The sequence below is a fragment of the Homo sapiens genome, chromosome 7, assembly GCF_000001405.40.
Source record: "Homo sapiens chromosome 7, GRCh38.p14 Primary Assembly".
Taxonomy (NCBI): domain Eukaryota; kingdom Metazoa; phylum Chordata; class Mammalia; order Primates; family Hominidae; genus Homo; species Homo sapiens.
In genome coordinates, this window is record NC_000007.14 from 33,074,147 (window position 1) to 33,094,244 (window position 20,098).

At 42.5% G+C, this 20,098-nt stretch overlaps 1 long non-coding RNA gene across 3 annotated transcripts in view; it reads left to right on the forward strand.

Moving 5' to 3' along the window:
* LOC124901610 (uncharacterized) overlaps positions 1–20,098 on the forward strand; it is a 32,215-nt gene that overhangs the window by 10,962 nt on the left and 1,155 nt on the right. Inside the window, exons 3-4 of one of the 3 annotated variants that reach the window (XR_007060277.1) lie at positions 13,424–13,476; positions 17,517–17,645. This is a non-coding gene — a long non-coding RNA (uncharacterized LOC124901610). The remainder of the gene's footprint in view (positions 1–13,423; positions 13,477–17,516; positions 17,646–20,098) is intronic. The other 2 variants (XR_007060278.1, XR_007060279.1) reach the window with 2 other exon arrangements.

Genomic DNA, 20,098 nt, shown 5'->3' on the forward strand with positions numbered 1-20,098 from the left:
GTAGGTGCAGTGGCTCACGACTATAATCCTAGCACTTTGGGAGGCTGAGGCTGGCAAATCACCTGAGGTCGGGAGTTTGAGACCAGCCTGACCAACATGGAGAAACCCTGTTTCTACTAAAAATACAAAATTAGCTGGGCATGGTGGTGGGCGCCTGTAATCCCAGCTACTTAGGAGGCTGAGGCAGGAGAATCGCTTGAACCCGGGAGGTGGAGGTTGCAGTGAGCCGAGATCAGGCCATTGCACTGCAGCCTGGGCCACAAGAGCGAAACTCAGTCTCAAAAAAAAAAAAAAAAAAAAAAAAAAAAAAAAAATAGGAACCAGCTAATCTCAAAATCCATTAAGTTATCTTTTAGTTTTTGGAGTATGGAATGTAAGAATTCCAGTTATTCTGTCTGGATTTATGTGTAGCCCTTCCTTAGAAATAAAATGTCTTAAGTATTTCACTCTGTTAGGCAGAATTGAAGTTTTTTCTTAGAGACTTTATGGTGTTTTTTTTTTTTTTGCTAGTTCCAATAAATATAGACAGTCCCTTTTTCATTTTTCTAAGTTGGAAGAGCATAACAAGGGTCATTCACATACTGGAGCAGAGCAGAATTTTCTTCAAAATTTAGTTCAGATAAATCAACTTTTAATATTTGTGAAAAGTAGGTTGGGCTTTCCTTGAAACCCTGGGGCATGACTGTCCAGGTGTATAGGCACTGTCCCAAGTAAAGTCAAACAGGTATTGACTATCAGGATCTACTGGTATACCGAAAAAGGCACTACATAAGTCAAATACAGTAAAACATTTATTATTTATGGGTGTATTAGACAAGAGGTTATGAGGGTTTGGAAATACTGGATGTCAAAGGACAACAATATTGTTAATGGCTCTTAAATTTGGCATAAATTTCCATTTCTTCCCCTTGGGTTTTTGTACTGGGATGATGGGCATATTATAAGGGCAGATGCAAGGAATGATTATCAATGAATTCCTTAATTAACGTCTTTATGCCTATTATGGATTCCTGTTTTAATGGGGATCATTTAATATCAGGAATTGGTTTATTTGGATCTACTTGTATTTTTTACTGGTACAGCCATCGGAATTTTCCCTATGTTCATGGATGCACAGGACCATAGATAATCAGGAATGAAGTCTAACAAATCATGGTGTTCCTCCTTTGGTGCCTAGTAATTGAACCTGAATAATCATTTGACTGAAAATGTTTATAGTATCAATTTCAGCTGATTCTTTCTCATTTTGAAGAATATTCTTCCTGTTTTTGAAAAAGAGATATGGGCATTATAAAGCTCTAAGAAATCTCTCCTTGTAAGATATATTGGTACAGAAGGCACCAGAAGGAAGGAATGATGTCTATCTAAATTCCCTAGCTGCAAAGTTAAAAGTTCTGATCTATGTACAGTCATAGGCTGATTAGATATCCTTACCATCCGAAGTGGTTGGTTACTCCAAGGAAGAGGGCTCTTTAGGAGGGTAGGGTTGAGAATAGAAAGTCTGGCTTCCATATCAACTAAAGCCTTAGTTTGTTTTTTGCTTATAAACGTATTTACGTCCCCTAGAGTGTAACTTAGGAGGAAGGGAAAAGCCCTCTTTATTTTTCCAGAGCCTCCCTGTTCTTCCTTTCCATTTTCTCTTTTTGCTTTTGCACCCATTTCAGCTTTCTACAGTGTTTTAAAAGATGTCTTGTTTTTTTTTTATAATACAGACATTCTTAGATGTTTTTGAAACGCCTTCCAAAAGGGTGGCCTCTGTTTAAACCTAGCAACTTGGCCAGTAAGTCACTGGAGTTGTAAATTTATAATTTTAGTGGCATTGTCATCCTTCCTCTGTTGTATCGCCCTGGTTGGCTTATCAAGAAGGTTTACAAGCTCAGAAATATGTGATGAGTCCCAGTTTATTTAATGTAACTTGACTACCTTGGCCAATTGTTTGTCTAACCCATTAAATAAACTTGAATTTAGTAAGGGATCATTTTGATGATCTTAGACTGGTGATATGGTTTGGCTCTGTGTTCCCACCCAAATATCATCTCTAATTGTAATCCCCACATGTTGAAGGAGGGACCTGGTGGGAGGTGATTGGATCATGGGGGTGAATTACCCCATTCTATTCTTGTGATAATGAGGGAGTTCTCATGAGAGCTGGAGGTTTTTACAGTGTTTGGCAGTTTCCCCTTCACTCTCACTCTCTCCTGCTGCCATTTAAGATGTCCCTTGCGTCCCCTTTGCTTTCCACCATGATTGTAAATTTCCTGAGGCTTCCCCAGCTATGCAGAGCTATAAGTCAATTAAATCTGTTTTATTTATAAATTACCCAGTCTTGGGTATTTATAGCAGTGTGAAAATGGACTAATACAACTGGCCTCATTTATTCCAGAGTATTGTTTAAACATCTTTTAAAATCTTTCAAAGTAGTCTAATACAGTCTCATTTGATCCTTGTCTACATTGTTGCACCTTAAACCAATTAGTGTTCTTTGGGAAATATCTGGGGAATTACCTGTGTTAGACAATTTGTCAGTTCTGAGGCTTCTGCTGGGTCCTCTGCCTTTTGTTAATAGAAATTGCTTACTGGATTCTTCAAATCAACCTTTGATATCCATTCTCTACCTTTCCTTTCAGATAGTAACATATGAACTAGTTGACATAAATATGAATATACTGGCTTATCGGTCTTTTTTTTGAGACACACACACACACACACACACACACACCCCACTCTGTCACTCAGGCTGGAATGCAGTGGTGTGATCATGGCTCGCTGTAGTATTGACCTCCTGGGCTCCAGCAGTCCTCCCACCTCAGTTTCCTGAGTAGCTGTAACCACAAAACCACACCTGGCTAATCATTTTTATTTTTTATAGATATGTGGTCCCACAATGTTGCACAGGCTGATCTCAAACTCCAGGGCTCAAGTGATCCTCCCTCCTCGGTCTCCCAAAGTGCTGAGATTACAGGCTGACCACCACACCCAGCCAGGTTTTACTGCCAAACTAAGTTCCTTAGGAAAGCCTATAGGATCTTGGGTAGTATCAGGAAATTAGTAAAACCCCTGAGTTCTAATTTGGTCCAGGTATAAGTGGTATAAGCCACTGAAGGATCCTCCCTTGGATTCAGCTTTCCTTTGGAAGGTGCTGCTAAAACTTCCATAGATAATGGGAGAGGAAGTCAAGGTAGGTCTGGACAGGGCAATTCTGAGAGCAGAGGATTGGAAAGGCTCTGGGGGACGGAGCAGGAATGGTAGTAGAAGAGGATAAAACAGTAGACAATTCAGACTTTTTTTCAACTGAGAAACAATTTCCAGAATCTTGTGATTTACCTCCCATATGGAAATGATTGTCATTTCCTACCTTAGAGGCTTCTAGATGCCATTGAAAGTAGCTTTCTCACTCTTTCTCTTTCATCTTTGAGCCAGCTCTCTCCCAATATGCATGTTAATCCAGTGATTCAAAAATTCTCAATATGAAGTGCCATAATTTTGTCATAAATCCAGCTGGTGTTTCAAGGGGTGGTAAGCACCCTTCAAAGATTTCAATCTTTGATGTCTAATTTCCCATGTTACTTCCTGTCCCCATCTATCTGCACTAAGCTAAGAATGTACAGGGTCAAAAATATGTTGCTTTAGAGCTTTACTCCTCAGGCTTGCACTCCCAAGTGGATTTAGCTCGCTTACATGTCTCAGGAAAACTCGCTGCTGAAAGAGGGAGCTACTCCTAATGCTAAATGACCCGTCTTCATAAGTGTTTCCTGGAGGAGCTAGACTATTTTGAATGTTCTTCTGTTCATAGTGGAACCCTATGGACTGTTGCACATCACCAGGGATTTCCCTCCAAGGTCCACAAGATTCTTAGTTGCCTAAGAATACCTGAAGTTTGGGGTAGAGGGAGTGTATTTCCCTTATCTTCAGAACAATTTTATCTCAATTGTTTTTATATGAAGGTGAAGGGGTTTGTGCAAGTAGAAGATGGCCTTTGAAAAGAGGGAAACATTGAGCTGAGCCACAAGATCCACCACTCAAACTGTGGCAATATTTGGTCAACCTAACCTTCTGTCCTTCCTTCCTAACAATTTAGAACAAGCAATAACAATTCTATGAAGAATTTGGCAAACCCAGGATATATTACTCTTCCTAAACACAGCTTAGAATAAAAAAGGATCACTTACTTCTTGGTTCGTTACTGTTTATTTCTGTCTTTGGCTATGTCTCCAAATGGAATTTGTGCCTCCAATTCTTCATTCTTTATAATATGTTAGCAGCATTTTATATAGCTGGTCACACTTTCCTTTGAGATATACTTTTTTCACTTCTGCTGTGGTTTGGAAATTTGTGTCCTCCAAACTTTATGATGAAATTTGATCCCCAGTGTTGGAGGTGGGTCCTACTGGGAGGTGTTTGTGTCATGGGGGCAGATCCCTTATGAATAAAATAGTGCCCTCCTTCAAAGGTGAGTGAGTTTTTCATTAGTTCCCATGAGAGCTGATTGTTACAAAGAGCCTGGCACCTCCCCCACTTTCTCTTTCTTTCTCTCTCCATGTGCACTCTGCACACACCAAGTCACTTTCTGTCTTTCACCATGAGTGGAAGCCACCTGAGGCCCTCCCCAGCTACATATGCCTAATCTTGAACTTAACATCCATCAGAATTGTGAGCCAAATAAACTGTTTTTCTTTATAAATTATCCATCAGGTATTTTTTTATAGTAACACAAAATAGACTAAGACAATTTCCTTTCTGATAACTCACTCCTGGTTTTCCCTTGAGTTTGTTGGACGCTTCTGTTCAGTCTTTTTGGCAGACTCCTCCTTCCTTTTACTGGTAGCACCCCAGTGCCCAGTCCAGTTTTATATCTTCATTTCCCTATACCTCTCTCCCTATGAGGTCTCCTTCTATCTTATTATGACTTTGAGCACCATGCGTATGCTGATAAGTCTCTTTTCCGGGGCAGCATCCTGCACTACAGACAGATATGTCCAACTTTTTATTTGGCATCTCCACTTGGATGCCATAGACATCTCATAATTAATGTGTTCAAAGCCAAACTCCTCATTCCATTTTTCTTCTGTAATTGTGCCACTCACCCATTCTCTGTCTCATTAATAACTGTCCATCTGTTAGTTACTGAGGTCAAAATGTTAACAGTATAAAGTATCTGAGTCACATGGCACCAAAATAAGTTACCACCGATGAATCCGTATGAGTCTGCAGCAACCTCAATTCTTGCCTCCTTAGAGGAAAGAATTTGACCTAGGAGGCATAAAGCAGAAGGAGAGACAAGGCAAGTTTTAGAGCAGGAGTGAAAGTTTATTAAAAAGCTTTAGAGCAAGAATGAAAGGAAGGAAAGTACACTTGGAAGAGGGCAACTTGAAAGACAAGTGTGTGGTTTGATCTTTTGGCTTGGCCTTTTATATGTTGGCATACTTCCGGAGTCTTGCATTACTTCTCCCTGGATTCTTCCCTTAGGGTGGGCTGTCACCTGGGAGGGGAGCATGCGTATTGTGTTTACTGGGGTTGTACACATGCTCACTTGAGGCATTCTTCCCTTACCAGTCACATGTCCCTAGGAGGTCATATCCCAGTTAAACTTTGCCATTTTCCCTCATAGTGTGCATGTGTGAGTCCATTCGCCCAGATCTTACTGGGAAGCGGATGCTCACCAGTTTCAGGTGTTTTCTATTTACTGGGAGCCGGCCTTTCCCTGGCGCCAGCTGTGACCAGTTAGTATTTTAGAGAGACAGCTCACAACTGCCTGACCATCACCAGATGGTCACCTGACATTCCTGGTGTGTGTGTGGAGGGGAGCCCTCTCCTGCCCTGCTCTTGTCTACCTACTCTAATGAAAAAACCTCAGAGTCATCTTTGACCTCTCTCTCACACACACCACATCAATTCAAAATATATCAAAAATTTGAGCACTTATTTCTACTGCTGCTATATCAGTCATTTTCACCGTCATACTTGGATTATTGCAATAGCCTTCTAAATGGTCTCTTGGTAATCTATCCATGACCCTTTAATAGTCTGTTCGAAACACAGTAGGCAGGGTGATCATTTGTACAATGAATGAGCTCATGTCATTCCCTTGCTTGAAATCCTCCAATGGCTCTCCAGTACACCCATAATAAAAGCTAAAGTGCTCACAGAGGCCTGTAAGGCTACTCAGTCTACCCCTCCTTAACCTCTCTGACCGTCATCTCCTACTACCCTCCCCTTCATCCCATTTGTTCCAGTCAACATGGGTTCCTTGCTGTTCTAGAAACATAGCAGGCATGTATAGGAAACCAAAATATTTCACTCCAGAATATACTTCTTTAACATATTTCAAGATGGCTATTCAGAAAGGCTGGAAATACAAGAATAGCTGAAAGGCTGTCTTTTGTGGGCGAGATTTGCATCTGTAGAGAAAATCTGCATTGATGCAGTCAGCCTTTCTCCGAGGCCCTCTTTTGTCTGATCTAGGAAAGATTAACTGAAAGTCTGACACCTTTAAAGGTATAAAAGAAACAGTCACCATCTATTTTTCTCTGATAGCTGCTACCTGTGAGGTTTCTTTTCTTTCTTTTTTTTTTTAAGAGATAGGGTCTCACTCCGTCATGTAAGCTGATTGCAATGGCACCATTGCAGCTCACTGAAACCTTGAACCCCTGGCCTCAAGCGCTTTTCCTGCCTCAACCTCCCAAAATGCTCAGATTATAGGCTTGAGCCACCCTGCCCAGCCTACCTGTGAGGTTTCGTCTGCATTATAAGATCACCTTTGCTAGTCAGGCCTCTTCTTCTTCCCCTTTCATAACCTGTTTGTCACAATCCAAGCCCTCATTTTTCTGTAACCTCAGGATAGTATATAAGGTTCTGTGCCTTATATGGGACACATATAAGGCACAGAGGGGTGGGAGGGGTGGGTTAATCACTCTGTATTTCTTCCCATGCACATTAACACATTTGTATTCCATTTCTCCTATTAATCCTCTTTGTGAGTTGATTGTTTTAGTGAAACTTCAGAGGGTGAAGGAGTTTCCTTTCGCCCCTATAGTTTTGGCACTGTGAGCAAGATTACCAAAGCCACTCTGCTCTTCTGGAAACAGCGGTCAAGGGAACCCAGGACCCGATAAGCCAGTAGAATGGGGTATGAGTTTCTTACTAGCCAGGTTCTGGTCTCTCTGGAAAAGCTGGCCAAGCAGATATTAAAAAAACAAAAAAAATCACTGTTTGTCCCTTTTTCCTATGCAAAATCTGGGAGAAAAGGATTTGTGTGACTAGTCTTGGGTATCGCAACTCTGGTGTACTTTTTTTTGGTATAAACTGGGGATCAAATATTGATTTCTTTCCTCCCAGAAATAGTCTTTTCCATCATCTTTGTCTTTCTATGTTGTTCTGGTAGGACGTGGGCTTAAAACCCCTATAAGCCCCCTCTTTGAGCCAACCATGCCAGCCATGCAGACAGGTCGGTTTTGTGGTTCTGACTAGACCATCATCTATGTAGACAAATTTTTCTGTGGGCCCCCAAAATAAAAACCAGATGAAGTTCCTCTCTTGTCTTGTATGTCCTTGGGAGCTTGACTTGTGACTAAGTGGGAGCACCTGCTCTTGGTCTCCACCATCTATGGGTGTGATTTGGCGTCATATTAGGTGGCCAATCTAAAACTGGCTGGGAACCCAAGACGCGACAGTATATATGTTTTTCCGAATACGGCAAACTTTCCAGTGACTTTTGTCTTAATAAGAAGTCCCGGTGAAACCCCATCTCTACTAAAATACAAAAAATTAGCCGGACGTGGCAGCATGCGCCGGTAGTCCCAGCCACTTGGGAGGCTGACGCAGGAGAATTGCTTGAACCCGGGTGGCAGAGGTGGCAGTGAGCCAAGATCACGCCACTACGCTCCAGCCTGGGTGACAGAGCGAGACTCTGTCTCAAAAGAAAAAAATTCCCATCCATAAGGAACTTTTGTCATCACCACTCTTGTTGCCTGGTTAGTCCTGGGAAAGTACTATCCTTAGCCGTCTGTGGCAAAAAGAGACTTGCTGTCTTATCTTATTACTGGGAGTAAATTTTTTGGAAGGGATCTTTGGTATTGCCTCTGCGATGTCCTGTCCAGGAAACATCTCTTGTTAAAAACTTATTCCAATGCTGGAATATTACCTCCTAGACTTTCTATGAAAAGGCTTATTAGATTGAGTTGCTATTGGAATAAGTACACCCTTAGAGCTGGGTGTGGTGGCTCCTGCCTGGAATCTTTCTTAGGAGGTTGAGGTGGGAGGATGCCTTGAGCCCAGGAGTTTGAGACCAGCCTGAGTAGCATAGTGAGACTCCATCTGTGTGTAAATAAATAAATGAATAAATAAAGTTTAAAAAATTTTTAAAAAGGCCTAAGTACACCATTGGAAATTCTAATCTAAAAGATGGATCCTATACATTAGAAAGATCCCTAAATTTTAAAAAAGATTAAATGGGATGAAGGGGTGGTTCTGGATCTTTGTAAACAGTGGCCCTATTTGTATTTATAGGAAGATTAAATTAAAAGAATGACACGTAATAGTATCATGGCTATTCTTAGAAATTCTCTTGACAAAATTAAAGAGCAACAGTCTGATCTAAAACAAATTTAAAATGATTTGTACTCTCAAATTGCCAGTTTTGGATCCTTTGTAGGATTTGCAACAATAACTACTCTATCTTGTCTAGTTAAAATTCTACACTTTCACCACCGTGGCCTGGGTTTGATTCCCAGTCAGGGAACTAGTCCCTTTTGTTTTGATATTTCTGTGACTTTTGACTTTTGGGGGTACCCGTTTGTTATTGATCCTTTTACTTTCCATGGACAACTTCTGATTTCTTGTCTTCTTCTGTCTGTAGGGACACACAGGACTTTTAGGTCTTTGTGTGTAGATGGTCAGCTGAGAATATGGCCAGACAGAAATGTGGGTTGTCAGTTTGCAGCTAGTGAAACTTCCCATTCTTTGAGCTATCTTTGGGGTGGTTCTGGATCTTGTGAGGATGGCTTTGCATCTCTTTGGAGATGTCTTGTGTATCTTTGGTTAAGTCATAACTTTGGTGGTGAGTCACTTAGGGGGGTACCTTTGGTAAAAAAGTTCCAAAGCCAGGATTATCAGCTGTTTGTTCTGGCTAAAATCAGATAATTCTGATCATATGAAATTTGAAAGGAATTTTTTTTTTAAAATAGAGCTCTGTGGTCAGAAGGCTGCATAATTAAAAGCTGATATTCAAGATATTTATTTATTTATTTACTTATTTATTTATTTTAAAGGCCTTTCTACTTTTCCTCTTTGGATCTTGTTTCTGGGAATTTTTTTTTTTTCAGTCAACTGAAACAACTTTTGAAAATATATTTGGTCCTCTGTTCACTTCCTTTCTTGTTGATACGATTTTTACTGAGAAAAATGCAGCATTTTATTGGCCCTTCAGAAAGCTTAAAATTTCCCCAATTGGCTCCTTTAAGAATTGTTCTCCCTGGATGCTACCGGGCAACGAGTAGGAGGGTTGCTGCAGTGAGGCTTGAAGCCCAAGTGGAGCCTTTGCAGGTGCAGATTTTGGTGGTAGTAGCATATATATATATTTAAATTGTTCTCCCATTTACTTCTGCTCCTCTTTCCTCTTTGTCATCTTCAGTACCACATGAAACGATCTAGAAGGGGCTGGACGCAGTGGCTCACACCTGTAATCCCAGCACTTTAGGAGGCCGAGGCGGGCAGATCCCTTGAGCCCAGAAGTTCAAGACCAGCCTGGGTAACATAGTGAAACACTGTCTCTACAAAAAATAAAAGAAAGAAAAAAACGATTAGCCGATCATGGTGGCTAGCTGGGCATGGTGGCACATGCCTGTAGTCCCAGCTATGTGGGAGGACGGATTGAACCTTGGTAGTCTAGGCTACAGGGAGCTGTGATCATGCCACTGCACTCGAGCCTAGGTGACAGAGTGAGACCCTGTCTCAAAAAAAAAAAAAAAAAAAAGGAGTTGGGGTTGGATCCAGAAGGGAACTTCTAATGATGCTGAGACCCAGTGAGGAACACAGAAAAAGGCACCACTCACCCACTTTTTGGGTCTTCTGTCTGCTCTTTACAGTCCAAAGAGTCATCAGGCAGGTTCCTTGCAGGTGTAAAGCTCTGCTCTTTTATGAATTGTGTTACCTGATCTCCTTGTCTTTTGAGTGTACCAGACATTACTTCGTAATGTGAGGGAGAACTTGACCTTTCTGTATGTGATGGCTGGTAAGTCACTGACAAGAGTTCCAGTTTTGTAGGTGGCTGAGAGTTGTCACCATGAATGGTTATTACAGGGGACTACTCATTTCTTTGCTCATCTGGATTAAAAGTCACAATTTGAACATTTGGAGGCCATGGAAACAGTACCAATGGATGACTCTAATGGGGAATGGGCTAATTGTAGATTGGGCTGATTGCCATTGGGTGGCCCTTGCAGCAGGATGCGCTGTGGAAGTACTGTGTAACCTGGTCCCATGGCATTTCCCTGTTTTGGGAAACCTGGTATTCAGTGTAAAAAAATGGGATCCTTGATTTCAAAGAATCTAGATGCTCTACCTTCTGGCTGTGCCTGTTTTTCACGTATTTGTATATTAGTTCCTAAAAACTGCAAGTGCTTTGTTGACCCTATTTGTTAATGGCTTCACCCTGAGCTCAATGGTCTAGTTATAAATTGGAAACTGTTCAGGCATGGTTGGTCACATCTGTAATCCCAGCTCTTTGGGACGCTGAGTTGGGAGGATCACTTGAGGCCAGGAGTTTGAGACCAGCCTAGGCAACATAATGAGACCCCAACTCTACATAAAATGAAAAATCTTAACCAGGTGGGGTGGTACATACCTGTATTCCCAGGTACTTAGGAGGCTGAGGTGGGAGGAGCCTTTGAGCCCAGGAGTTTGAGGTTGCAGTGAGCTATGATCATGTCACCAGGGTGACAGAGTGAGACCCCATCTCTCAAAAAAAAAAAAAAAAAAAAAGAGGTAGAGAGAGAATGAAAATGAAAACTCCACATATCTAAATAGATGGGTCTCCAAATTATGAGTTTCTGGCATTCAGCTGCTTATTTTGAAAAGGTTTCTGACTTTTCTCTAGGCCCATCTGTGTGCTTCTTTGTAAAATCATGTAATGAGTTCCTATTTTTTATTCACTTGGCATCCATTTTTAATCTTCTCGATGAACATACCCAAACTCTGTCTTGACAAACCTTAAATTCTTTCTCTGTAAGTTTGCTACCCTGTTTTTTCTTTTTCTTTCTTTCTTTTTTTTTTAAGTTGAGTTTTACTCTTTTGCCCAGGCTGGAGTGCAGTAGCATAATCTTGGCTCACTGCAACCTCCACCTCCCGGGTTCAAGCAATTCTTCTGCCTCAGCCTCCTGAGTAGCTGGGATTACAGGTGCCCACCACAATGCCTAGCTAATTTTTGTATTTTTAGTAGAGACGAGGTTTCACCATGTTGGCCAGGATGGTCTTGTACTCTTGGACTTGAAGTGATCTGCCTGCCTTGGCCTCTCAGAGTGCTGGGATTACAGGCATGAGCCACTGTTCCTGTCCCCTACCCTGTTTTTTCCAAAACTTGGCAAGGGCTTCAGCCATGTGGGATAGATACACTTTAGCTTGTTCCATTTACAGAGGCACAATTTAATCCAACTCTCCTTTTAAAGTAGTGAGTTTTTCCAGTTTCATGGCTAAAATTTAAAATGAAAGCTGTAAGATTCTTGTGTCTGTTTTTTTTTTGTATACATGTGTATATGTCTCTGAATATTGTCTACATGGTACCAAATTGATTTATAAATACTCATAAATTAAGTTAATAAGCCCAAATGCTTTTCATGTTCATGTGACTTTAGTAACCTTTGATAAGTAACACTAATTTAAAAATTATTGGTAAAATAAAATAGAAATGTCCCAAGAATTCAGACATTTTTGCCTGGGTGTATTGGTCAAGCAGATTTATACTGTCTCTACTACATGTTTTAAGGTACTTAAACTGTTACTTCTGTGATTTTTTTAATATTTACTTGTCTGTGAGCTTATGTTTTGGTTTTGAGCCTTTAGATTCTGGAGTCTAGACAAGTGGCCTTTGTAAGGCCTGGGGTCACGTGTGTGTCCCCAGCACCCAGGCCCCATCCTCTCTGGACCCGCTGTGCCTCTTGGCCACGCAGGGAGGGGTCAGATTCTCTAGGCAGTCTTCAAAGCTCTGTTCATTGTCCTGGGCTCTTCATCTGGTACATAACAATTATAATTGCTAATTGCCTAGGTTTTCACTGAAAATTATGGTTACTAAGAGTTAACATTGTTGGCCGGTCACTGTGGCTCACTCCTGTAATCCCAGCACTTTGCGAGGCCGAGATGGGTGGATCACCTGAGGTCAGGAGTTCAAGACCAGCCTGACCAACATGGTGAAACCCTGTCTCTACTAAAAATACAAAAATTCGCTGGGCATGGTGGTGCCCGCCTATAATCCCAGCTACCCAGGAGGCTGAGGCAGGAGAATTGCTTAAACCTGGGAGGCGGAGGTTGCGGTAAGCCAAGATTGCGCCATTGTACCCCAGCCTGAGCGATAGAGCGAGACTACGTCTCAAAAAAAAAAAAGAGTTAACAATGTAATTAATATATGTAATTAAAACTGTTAGATATAAGAGAAACACATTTGCAAAGTGTACAACAAAAGTAGGATGTGTTTTTGGAAAGTAAGGTTATAAATAAGGCATGAGAATGGCTTTTGGAAAAGAGAAAAGTTTTAGTTTAGAGGTTATTGAAGTATTGTTTCAAATTATTTTAGAATTGTGAAATGTGCTACCCATGGTGGCACCCATTTATAGTCCCAGCTACTAAAGAGAATGAAGCAGGAGGATTGCTTGAGTCCAGGCGTTTGAGGCTGCAGTGAGCTATAATTGTGCCACTGCACTCCAGTCTGGGCAACAGAGCAAGATCCAAGCTCTAAAAAATAATAATAATAAAAATTGTGAAATATGATATACAAAAATGGCACCACTCTGGTTCAGAGCCCTAAAGTGGAGTTGGAAAGCCATACTAAGAAGGACTACCTGCATGACCTGCAACCTTGCAAAAACAAAAACAAAAACCACAACCACTGAGGAATTTGCCTTGCCTCAAACCTTTGAACAGGGCCAAACTGCCACTTTCCAGGACCATAACATCCTTGGAAAACAACTGAATTTGTCCAGCACTGCAACTCCTAAACAGTAACAACCAATGAACTATGGAGTTGTATACTAAGCCAGCCATTTCCATCAATGATAATTCTTTCAAAACAACTTGTATAATCACTTTCAGTGTCCTTTAAAAAATTCCTACTTTACTTCAGTACTTTGGAATACAATTTGACTTCTAACCTAATCTGTTTCTCCCAAGTCTGGAATTCCTAAGATGCCAATAAACGTCTTGTCTTATTGCTTTGCAGTCTGGAATTTTGCCGCTTCTTGGTTGACAGAATCCAAGGGTATATTGTCACAGGTGAGCAATGACTATCTGGGCCAGTGGTGCAGGAATAAAACAATTTACCAAGACATTTGTAGGTAAAGAAGGCAGATTTATTAAAGAAAGTATGAAAATATGTTGCAAGGTTGCAATGGGCAGCCAACAAAAGAGTTGACTGCAAAGAAACAAAGGCTAGCTGGAGACTCTATAGGATAGTTCTTGGGCTGCACAGTGCTACTTTGAGTATTGATAATGCCAAGGTTGCCATGAGCTAACCTGCAGGTGTTTGGAGATAGTAAGGTGCAGGAGTGCTACGTATCCCAGAACATGAAGAAAGGCCCACTTATAGCTTCTCTGCTTTCTCTTTTTGCTTTCCCTCAGTCCTGCCAGCCTGACTCCTTTTCCATAATTAGGACTCCACATTTCACCTCTGACAGAGCAACAATGACAAATTTTTGGCTTGTGGGTGAAGGTCTTATCTTCCAACTGCTTCCTGTTGGCCAGAGATGTAGAGTTGACCCTACGTAGGATTGTTAGTCAGGAGGTTACATGGGCCTAAATCCCTGAATTGGAAGTTAAACTGGGCAGGGTTGCTGTGGGACCATTGGGAAAGTGCATTTACAGCCTCAAATTTTGTCTAGCTGCATCCAAATGAGAGTCATGGAGTTTCTTTCTTTCTTTTTTTTTTAACTTTTAAGTTCAGGGGTACATATGCAGGCTTATTACATAGGTAAACTTGTGTCATGGGAATTTGTTGTACAGATTATTTATTTTATCACCCAGGTACTAAGCCTAGTACCCATTTGTTATTTTTCCTGATCCTCTCCCTCCTCCCACCCTCCTCTCTCCAATAGGCCCCAGTGTGTGTTGTTCCCTTCTGTGTGTCCATGTGTTCTCATCATTTAGCTCCCACTTATAAGTGAGAACATGCAATATTTGGTATTCTGTTCCTGCGTTAGTTTGCTAAGGATAATGGCCTCCAGCTGCATCCATATCCCTGCAAAGGACATGGTCTTACTCTTTTTTATGGATGCATAGTGTTTCATGGTAGATATGTGCCACATTTTCCTTATCCAGTCTACCATTGATGGGCCTTTAGGTTGATTTCATGTCTTTGCTATTGTGAATAGTGCTGCAATGAACATACATGTGCATGTGTCTTTATAATAGAATGATTTCTATTCCTTTGGGTATATACCCAGTAATGGGAATGCTGGGTTGAATCGTTGTTCTGTCTTTAGGTCTTTGAGGAATCACCATGAGGAATGGTGATTTTTTTTTTTTTTGAGATGGAGTCTTGCTCTGTTGCCCAGGCTGGAGTGGAGTGCAGTGGCACCATCTCAGCTCACTGCAACCTCCACCTCCCGGGTTTAAGTGATTCTCCTGCCTTAGCCTCTGGAGTAGCTGGGACTACAGGTGTGCACCACCATGCCCAGCTAATTTTTGTATTTTTAGTAGAGACGGGGTTTCACCATGTTGGCCAGGCTGGTCACTGGTGTGCCACCATGCCTGGCTAATTTTTGTATTTTTAGTAGAGACGGGGTTTCACCATGTTGGCCAGGCTGGTCTCGAACTCCTGACCTCATGATCTGCCCACCTCGGCCTCCCAAAGTGCTGAGATTACAGGCGTGAGCCACCGTGCCCGGCCACAAGCCACATTTTATACCTCTGTGTTGCCTTGTCATTGAGATGTATGATGCCCTTGAAAGGGGAGTGTGACCTTGGTGGGGAGGCATCCCTCTTCCTCTTCAGGCATGGGCGGGTGATATCTAGAAATGGGAAGTGAGTGCAAACTGTTGGCTGTTGGGAGAGTAAGCATTTGCATACTAAAGTGGGAGTGGGGTAGGGTTAGATAAGGGTGGGGCGACATAGCATCTACTACTGCTTCAAAGTTGTGTTCCAACTGGACCATTTCTGTATACATGCAATAACTTTGTATTGAAAACCACTATGTGCTATGCATTGTGTTAGAAGCTTAGCATACAACACAGAATAATCTGTATCCTCAAGAAGCTTCCAGACTTGTGGGCAGTGAGGCAAGGAAATGTTTGCACTAGTGTGCTGGCTATTCTGGATATTGAAGCACAGGCGAGGGGCACCTGACCACCTCTGGGAGCCCAGGGTAGGTTTCTGACTCAGGCACTGAGGTGGCTGTTAGATGAAAAGATGCTGAGGGTAATATGTTTGTGAGGGGGATAGATGGTGTGGTCCCCATGGGACATCTAAGTGGATACACCCAAGGCTCGAGGGAGTTCTGGGATGGTGTCATCAGAATATTGATGATATTTGAAGCCATGAAAATGGATGAGATCACAGAAGAGTGCATAGAAGGCCTAGGCCAGAACTGTGAGAAACATTGATATTTAAAGGATGGAGGCCAAGACTTATAAGGGAGACTACGAAGGAGCAGCCACTGAAGTAGTTAGGTGGAGAACATGGAAGAGAGGAACCATGAAATCCAATGTTGAGGATCTTTCAAGAAAAAGTGTCCCAAAAAGTCAAAGGCCAAACAAGTCAAAGAAAGGACTGGAGAGGATCTGGTAGATTTGATAACAATGAGGTAATGAGCTCACAAGAGCTCTTTTGGTGGTGCTGGGTGTGTTATGGACTGAATTGTATTTCTCCCAAATTCATTTGTTGAAGTCCCAACCCCCAATGTGTATTTGGAGCTAAGGCCTTTAAAGAGGTAATTAAGGTTAAATGAGGTGATGAGAGTGCAGCCCTAATTAATAGAAATGGTGTTCTTTTTTTTTGTTTTTTTTTTTTTGTTGTTGTTGTTTTTAGACAGAGTCTTGCTTTGTCACCCAGGCTGGAGTGCAATGGAACAATCTTGGCTCACTGCAACCTCCAACTCCCAGGTTCAAGCAATTCTCCTGCCTCAGCCTCCCGACTAGCTGAGATTACAGGTGCCCACCACCACACCTGGCTAATTTTTTGTATTTGTAGTAGAGACAGGGTTTCACCACATTGGTCAGGCTGGTCTTGATCTCCCGACCTCAAGTGATCCACCCCCCTTGGCTTCCCAAAGTGCTGGGATTACAGGCGTGAGCCACTGAACCTGGCCAAGACAGGACTGCTTTTAAAGGGAGAGGCCAGGTGCAGTGGCTCACGCCTGTAATCCCAGCACTTTGGGAGGCTGAGGTGGGCGGATCACGAGGTCAGGAGTTCGAGACCAGCCTGACCATGGTGAAACCCTGTCTCTACTACAAATACAAAAATTAGCCAGGCGTGGTGGTGCACGCCTGTAATCCCGGCTACTCAGGGGGCTGAGGCAGGAGAATTGCTTGAACCCGGGAGGTGGAGGTTGCAGTGAGCCGAGATCGCGCCACTGCATTCCAGCCTGGTTGACAGAGGGAGACTCCGTATCAAAAAAAAAAAATAGAGAAAACATGGAATTGTGAGCATGTGGAACACAGGGCCACTTTATAACAAGCCCACTAGAGATAAGTAACCCACTCACGAGATAATAGCACTAAGCCATTTGTTAGGACAGAGCTCTCATGCCATAATCATTTCTTTAAGGCCCCACCTCTTAATATTTTTGCATTGGGAGTTAAGTTTCCAACGCAGGAATTCTGGGAGACATAATCAAACCACAGCATTGACTCATTTAGTAGTATCTGTAACAATTAAAATACGCAGTTGCCTCATTATGAAACTATTCTATTGAAATACTTGCACATGTACACTGAGATATTTACCCAAGATTTTCTTTTCAGTCTTATTTGTAGGAATGAGAAATAGGAGACAAATGAATTGTGATAAGTAGATTAACGGTTAAATGAATCATGGCACATTCAAACTGAGGAATTTTGTAGCCACCTGAAGCTTGTAGTGAGCAGTAAGATTACCAACATAGAGTGAAATGGAGTCACAGAACAGCATTCCTGGTGTTTATCAGTTATGTGAAACTAACAATTCAAAACCTTTCCTGTACGTCTGTTTGCTGATGCATTTTGATCAGGATCTGGAGTGCTGTATCAAAGCATCATAAGTAGACTCCTCTTTCACTTTTTATTCTTGAATGGCTCAGAATTGTGAATTCTTTATGAGCATGTATTTTACAATTTTAAAAGTTTTTAAATACTAGTGGCAAGATCACAACAGAAAGGAAGAGTTTCAAGACGTGAGTGACATGGGATAAAGGAGGAAGCTCCCCAAGGAACAGATGATGGTGACAGCAGTACCAGTAGCAGCAGGAGCAGGTAACATTCAGAGTTGAGATATGCTACACCCTGCTCTAAATGCTTTACGCATATCAAGTACCCTCATTCTCACGAGGAGTCTAGGAGGTGGATATGATCAGTCAAGGACATGGAGGCACAGAGAGATGGAGCAACTCCACAGCTAGCAAAGCTGGGACTCAAAGCCAGGCAGTCTGGATGCAGGGCCAGTGCTCCAGCCACTGCCCCCTACTGCTGGCTGATGGTGGGATCCAGAGCACAGGTGATGGACTGGCCTGAGAGGAGGAGGGAAAGCTCATTAAACCTCTGAATCAGTTTGTTGCTGTATTAACACTTTCCCACAAACGTAAAAGCTCAAAACCACCATCATTGATTACCTCACGGTGGTGTAGGTCAGAAGCCTGAGCAGGCTCAACTGGGCTCTCGACTTTGCATCTCAGAAGCCCCAACCCAAGGTGTCAATAGAGGTGGGCTTCCATCTGGAGGCTCTGGGGAAGAATATGCATCCAGAATCATTGAGGGTGGCAGAATTCATTTACTTTCGGCTGTAGGACTGAGAGCTCCATTTCCTTGCTGGCTGTTAGTCAGGAACCTTTGATGAGAGTCTGCTGCATCCCTCACCATGTGGGCCCATTCAACTTTAAGGCCAGTGATGATGTGTGGAATCTTTCACAGGCTTGGACTCTCTTACTTTCTCTTTGATTATTAGCCATAGACCACTCTGGAGTTCCATACGGCTCTCATGATTTGGTTAGGAACACCCAGATGGTCTCCCTCTCCTTGTGCTTGTAACATAATCCAGTCACAGGAGTAAAATGCATCCTATTAACAGTACTGAAGATTAGGGGGAGAGATCATGGGTCATTTTAGAATTTTGCCTAACTTGCACACCATGATGGTGAGATGGTAGGATGCATTAGTAAGGGGAGGTCTGAGGGCTGATATTGTCTTCCTGGATAGGAGTAGAAAATGCAGAACCTGAAGGAAATGCCTGAGAATGAAGGTTTAAATAGATGACTAACAAGCTTTTGGTTTGCTAGTCAGCATGCTGGGGTCAGTTCTTAAATTTGAGTTTGGAGATAATGAATTTGTGGGGACATCAATCCACATGGGCATGTGTTTTCCCCGTGTAGTCTGTATATACAAGCAGAAGTGAAAGATTTTAATTGAAGTTTCTTTTGGGAAAGCTGGACAAAAGGATGACAGGTCAGAGGAGATGACAGGCTGAAGTGATGTTCCCCAGAATCTAGGCCAGAAACAGACAAGACAGAGAAAACCAGTGAGAGAGAAGGGATAGCAATTTACTTGCAAGGGCTGCAGGGGTGGACGGCTGGATTCCAGTTAAAGCAGGAAGTGGAAGAACGCTTCAGTAAGAGGGTAGAGATCTAGAGCACAGGTTCTCCAAGTGGGGTTCCTGAACCAACAGTGTCCACATCACTTGTTAGCAAGGCAGATTCCCAGGTTCACCCCAGACCTAGGAAATGGAAAATTCTGGTAGTTTTTGAATGGAGCACAGGAATCTGCATCTTTAGTTGATTTGGATGCCTCGAAGGCTTGAGAATTATTGATGCAGCATTTCTCGTGTTGTGTAAGAATGCTTTTTATCATGAATGGGATTGCGGAGGGACAGTAGCCAATTCCTGGAAGAAGAGGACCAGCTCTACCTGGGTGGGAAATGCTGAGCATATGGCAGAGGACAGATGGCCTGTGTTCTGCATGACAAGGGTAAGTGTAAGGCAAGGCTGAATCACTGGACTTACAGTTTTCAGAAATAGTAAGTCCTGGCCATCCCATTCTTGATTGTGTTCGTGAGGTTGTATTCCAAGGCCAAGAATAGTAGCATTGACTGATGAGAGTTGGAGAAGGGTCAGTCTGGGCCTGGCTTGGCTGTTCCTTAAAAAGGAGGGAATCCAAACCCCAGGAAAAGTGGCAGAAAATGGGAGTGAGTTTCTGGGACCCTGACTGAGTGCCTAAAGCAGCAAGAGACCAGTGTTGGCCACAGAGGGACACGCTTGCCTATGAGCAAGATCCAGCTTCACTTTGGCTCAGCAAACGATGGACTTCCTCTCCTCTAGCTGCAGGAACACCTTGGCCTCCTGAGATGCCTCTACTGTGGCCTAGTCTCAGCTACAGGAGCATGTGTGGGCTGTGGTCAGGCAACAGGAAGAGGAAGAAAGGGAGAGAGATTTTGGGATGTGGGTACCTGACCCAGTATGGAAATCCCTGTATATTCTTAAACTTTTTCTGAGTCACTCTGTGAAAATTGTGGGACTTTGGCAGTAGAAAGCAAGAGAATTAGAATGCAGCCATACAAGGTTTTTCATTGTTTTAAGAACTCCCTAGCCCCCAAATCAACAAACCATGTCGGGTAAATATAAATGCACACTGCTGATATGGCAGTAAAGCCAAATGTACTTGATATATAAAAACAGTGGGCCCACCCTATCAGCAGGTTCTACATTCGTGAATTCATC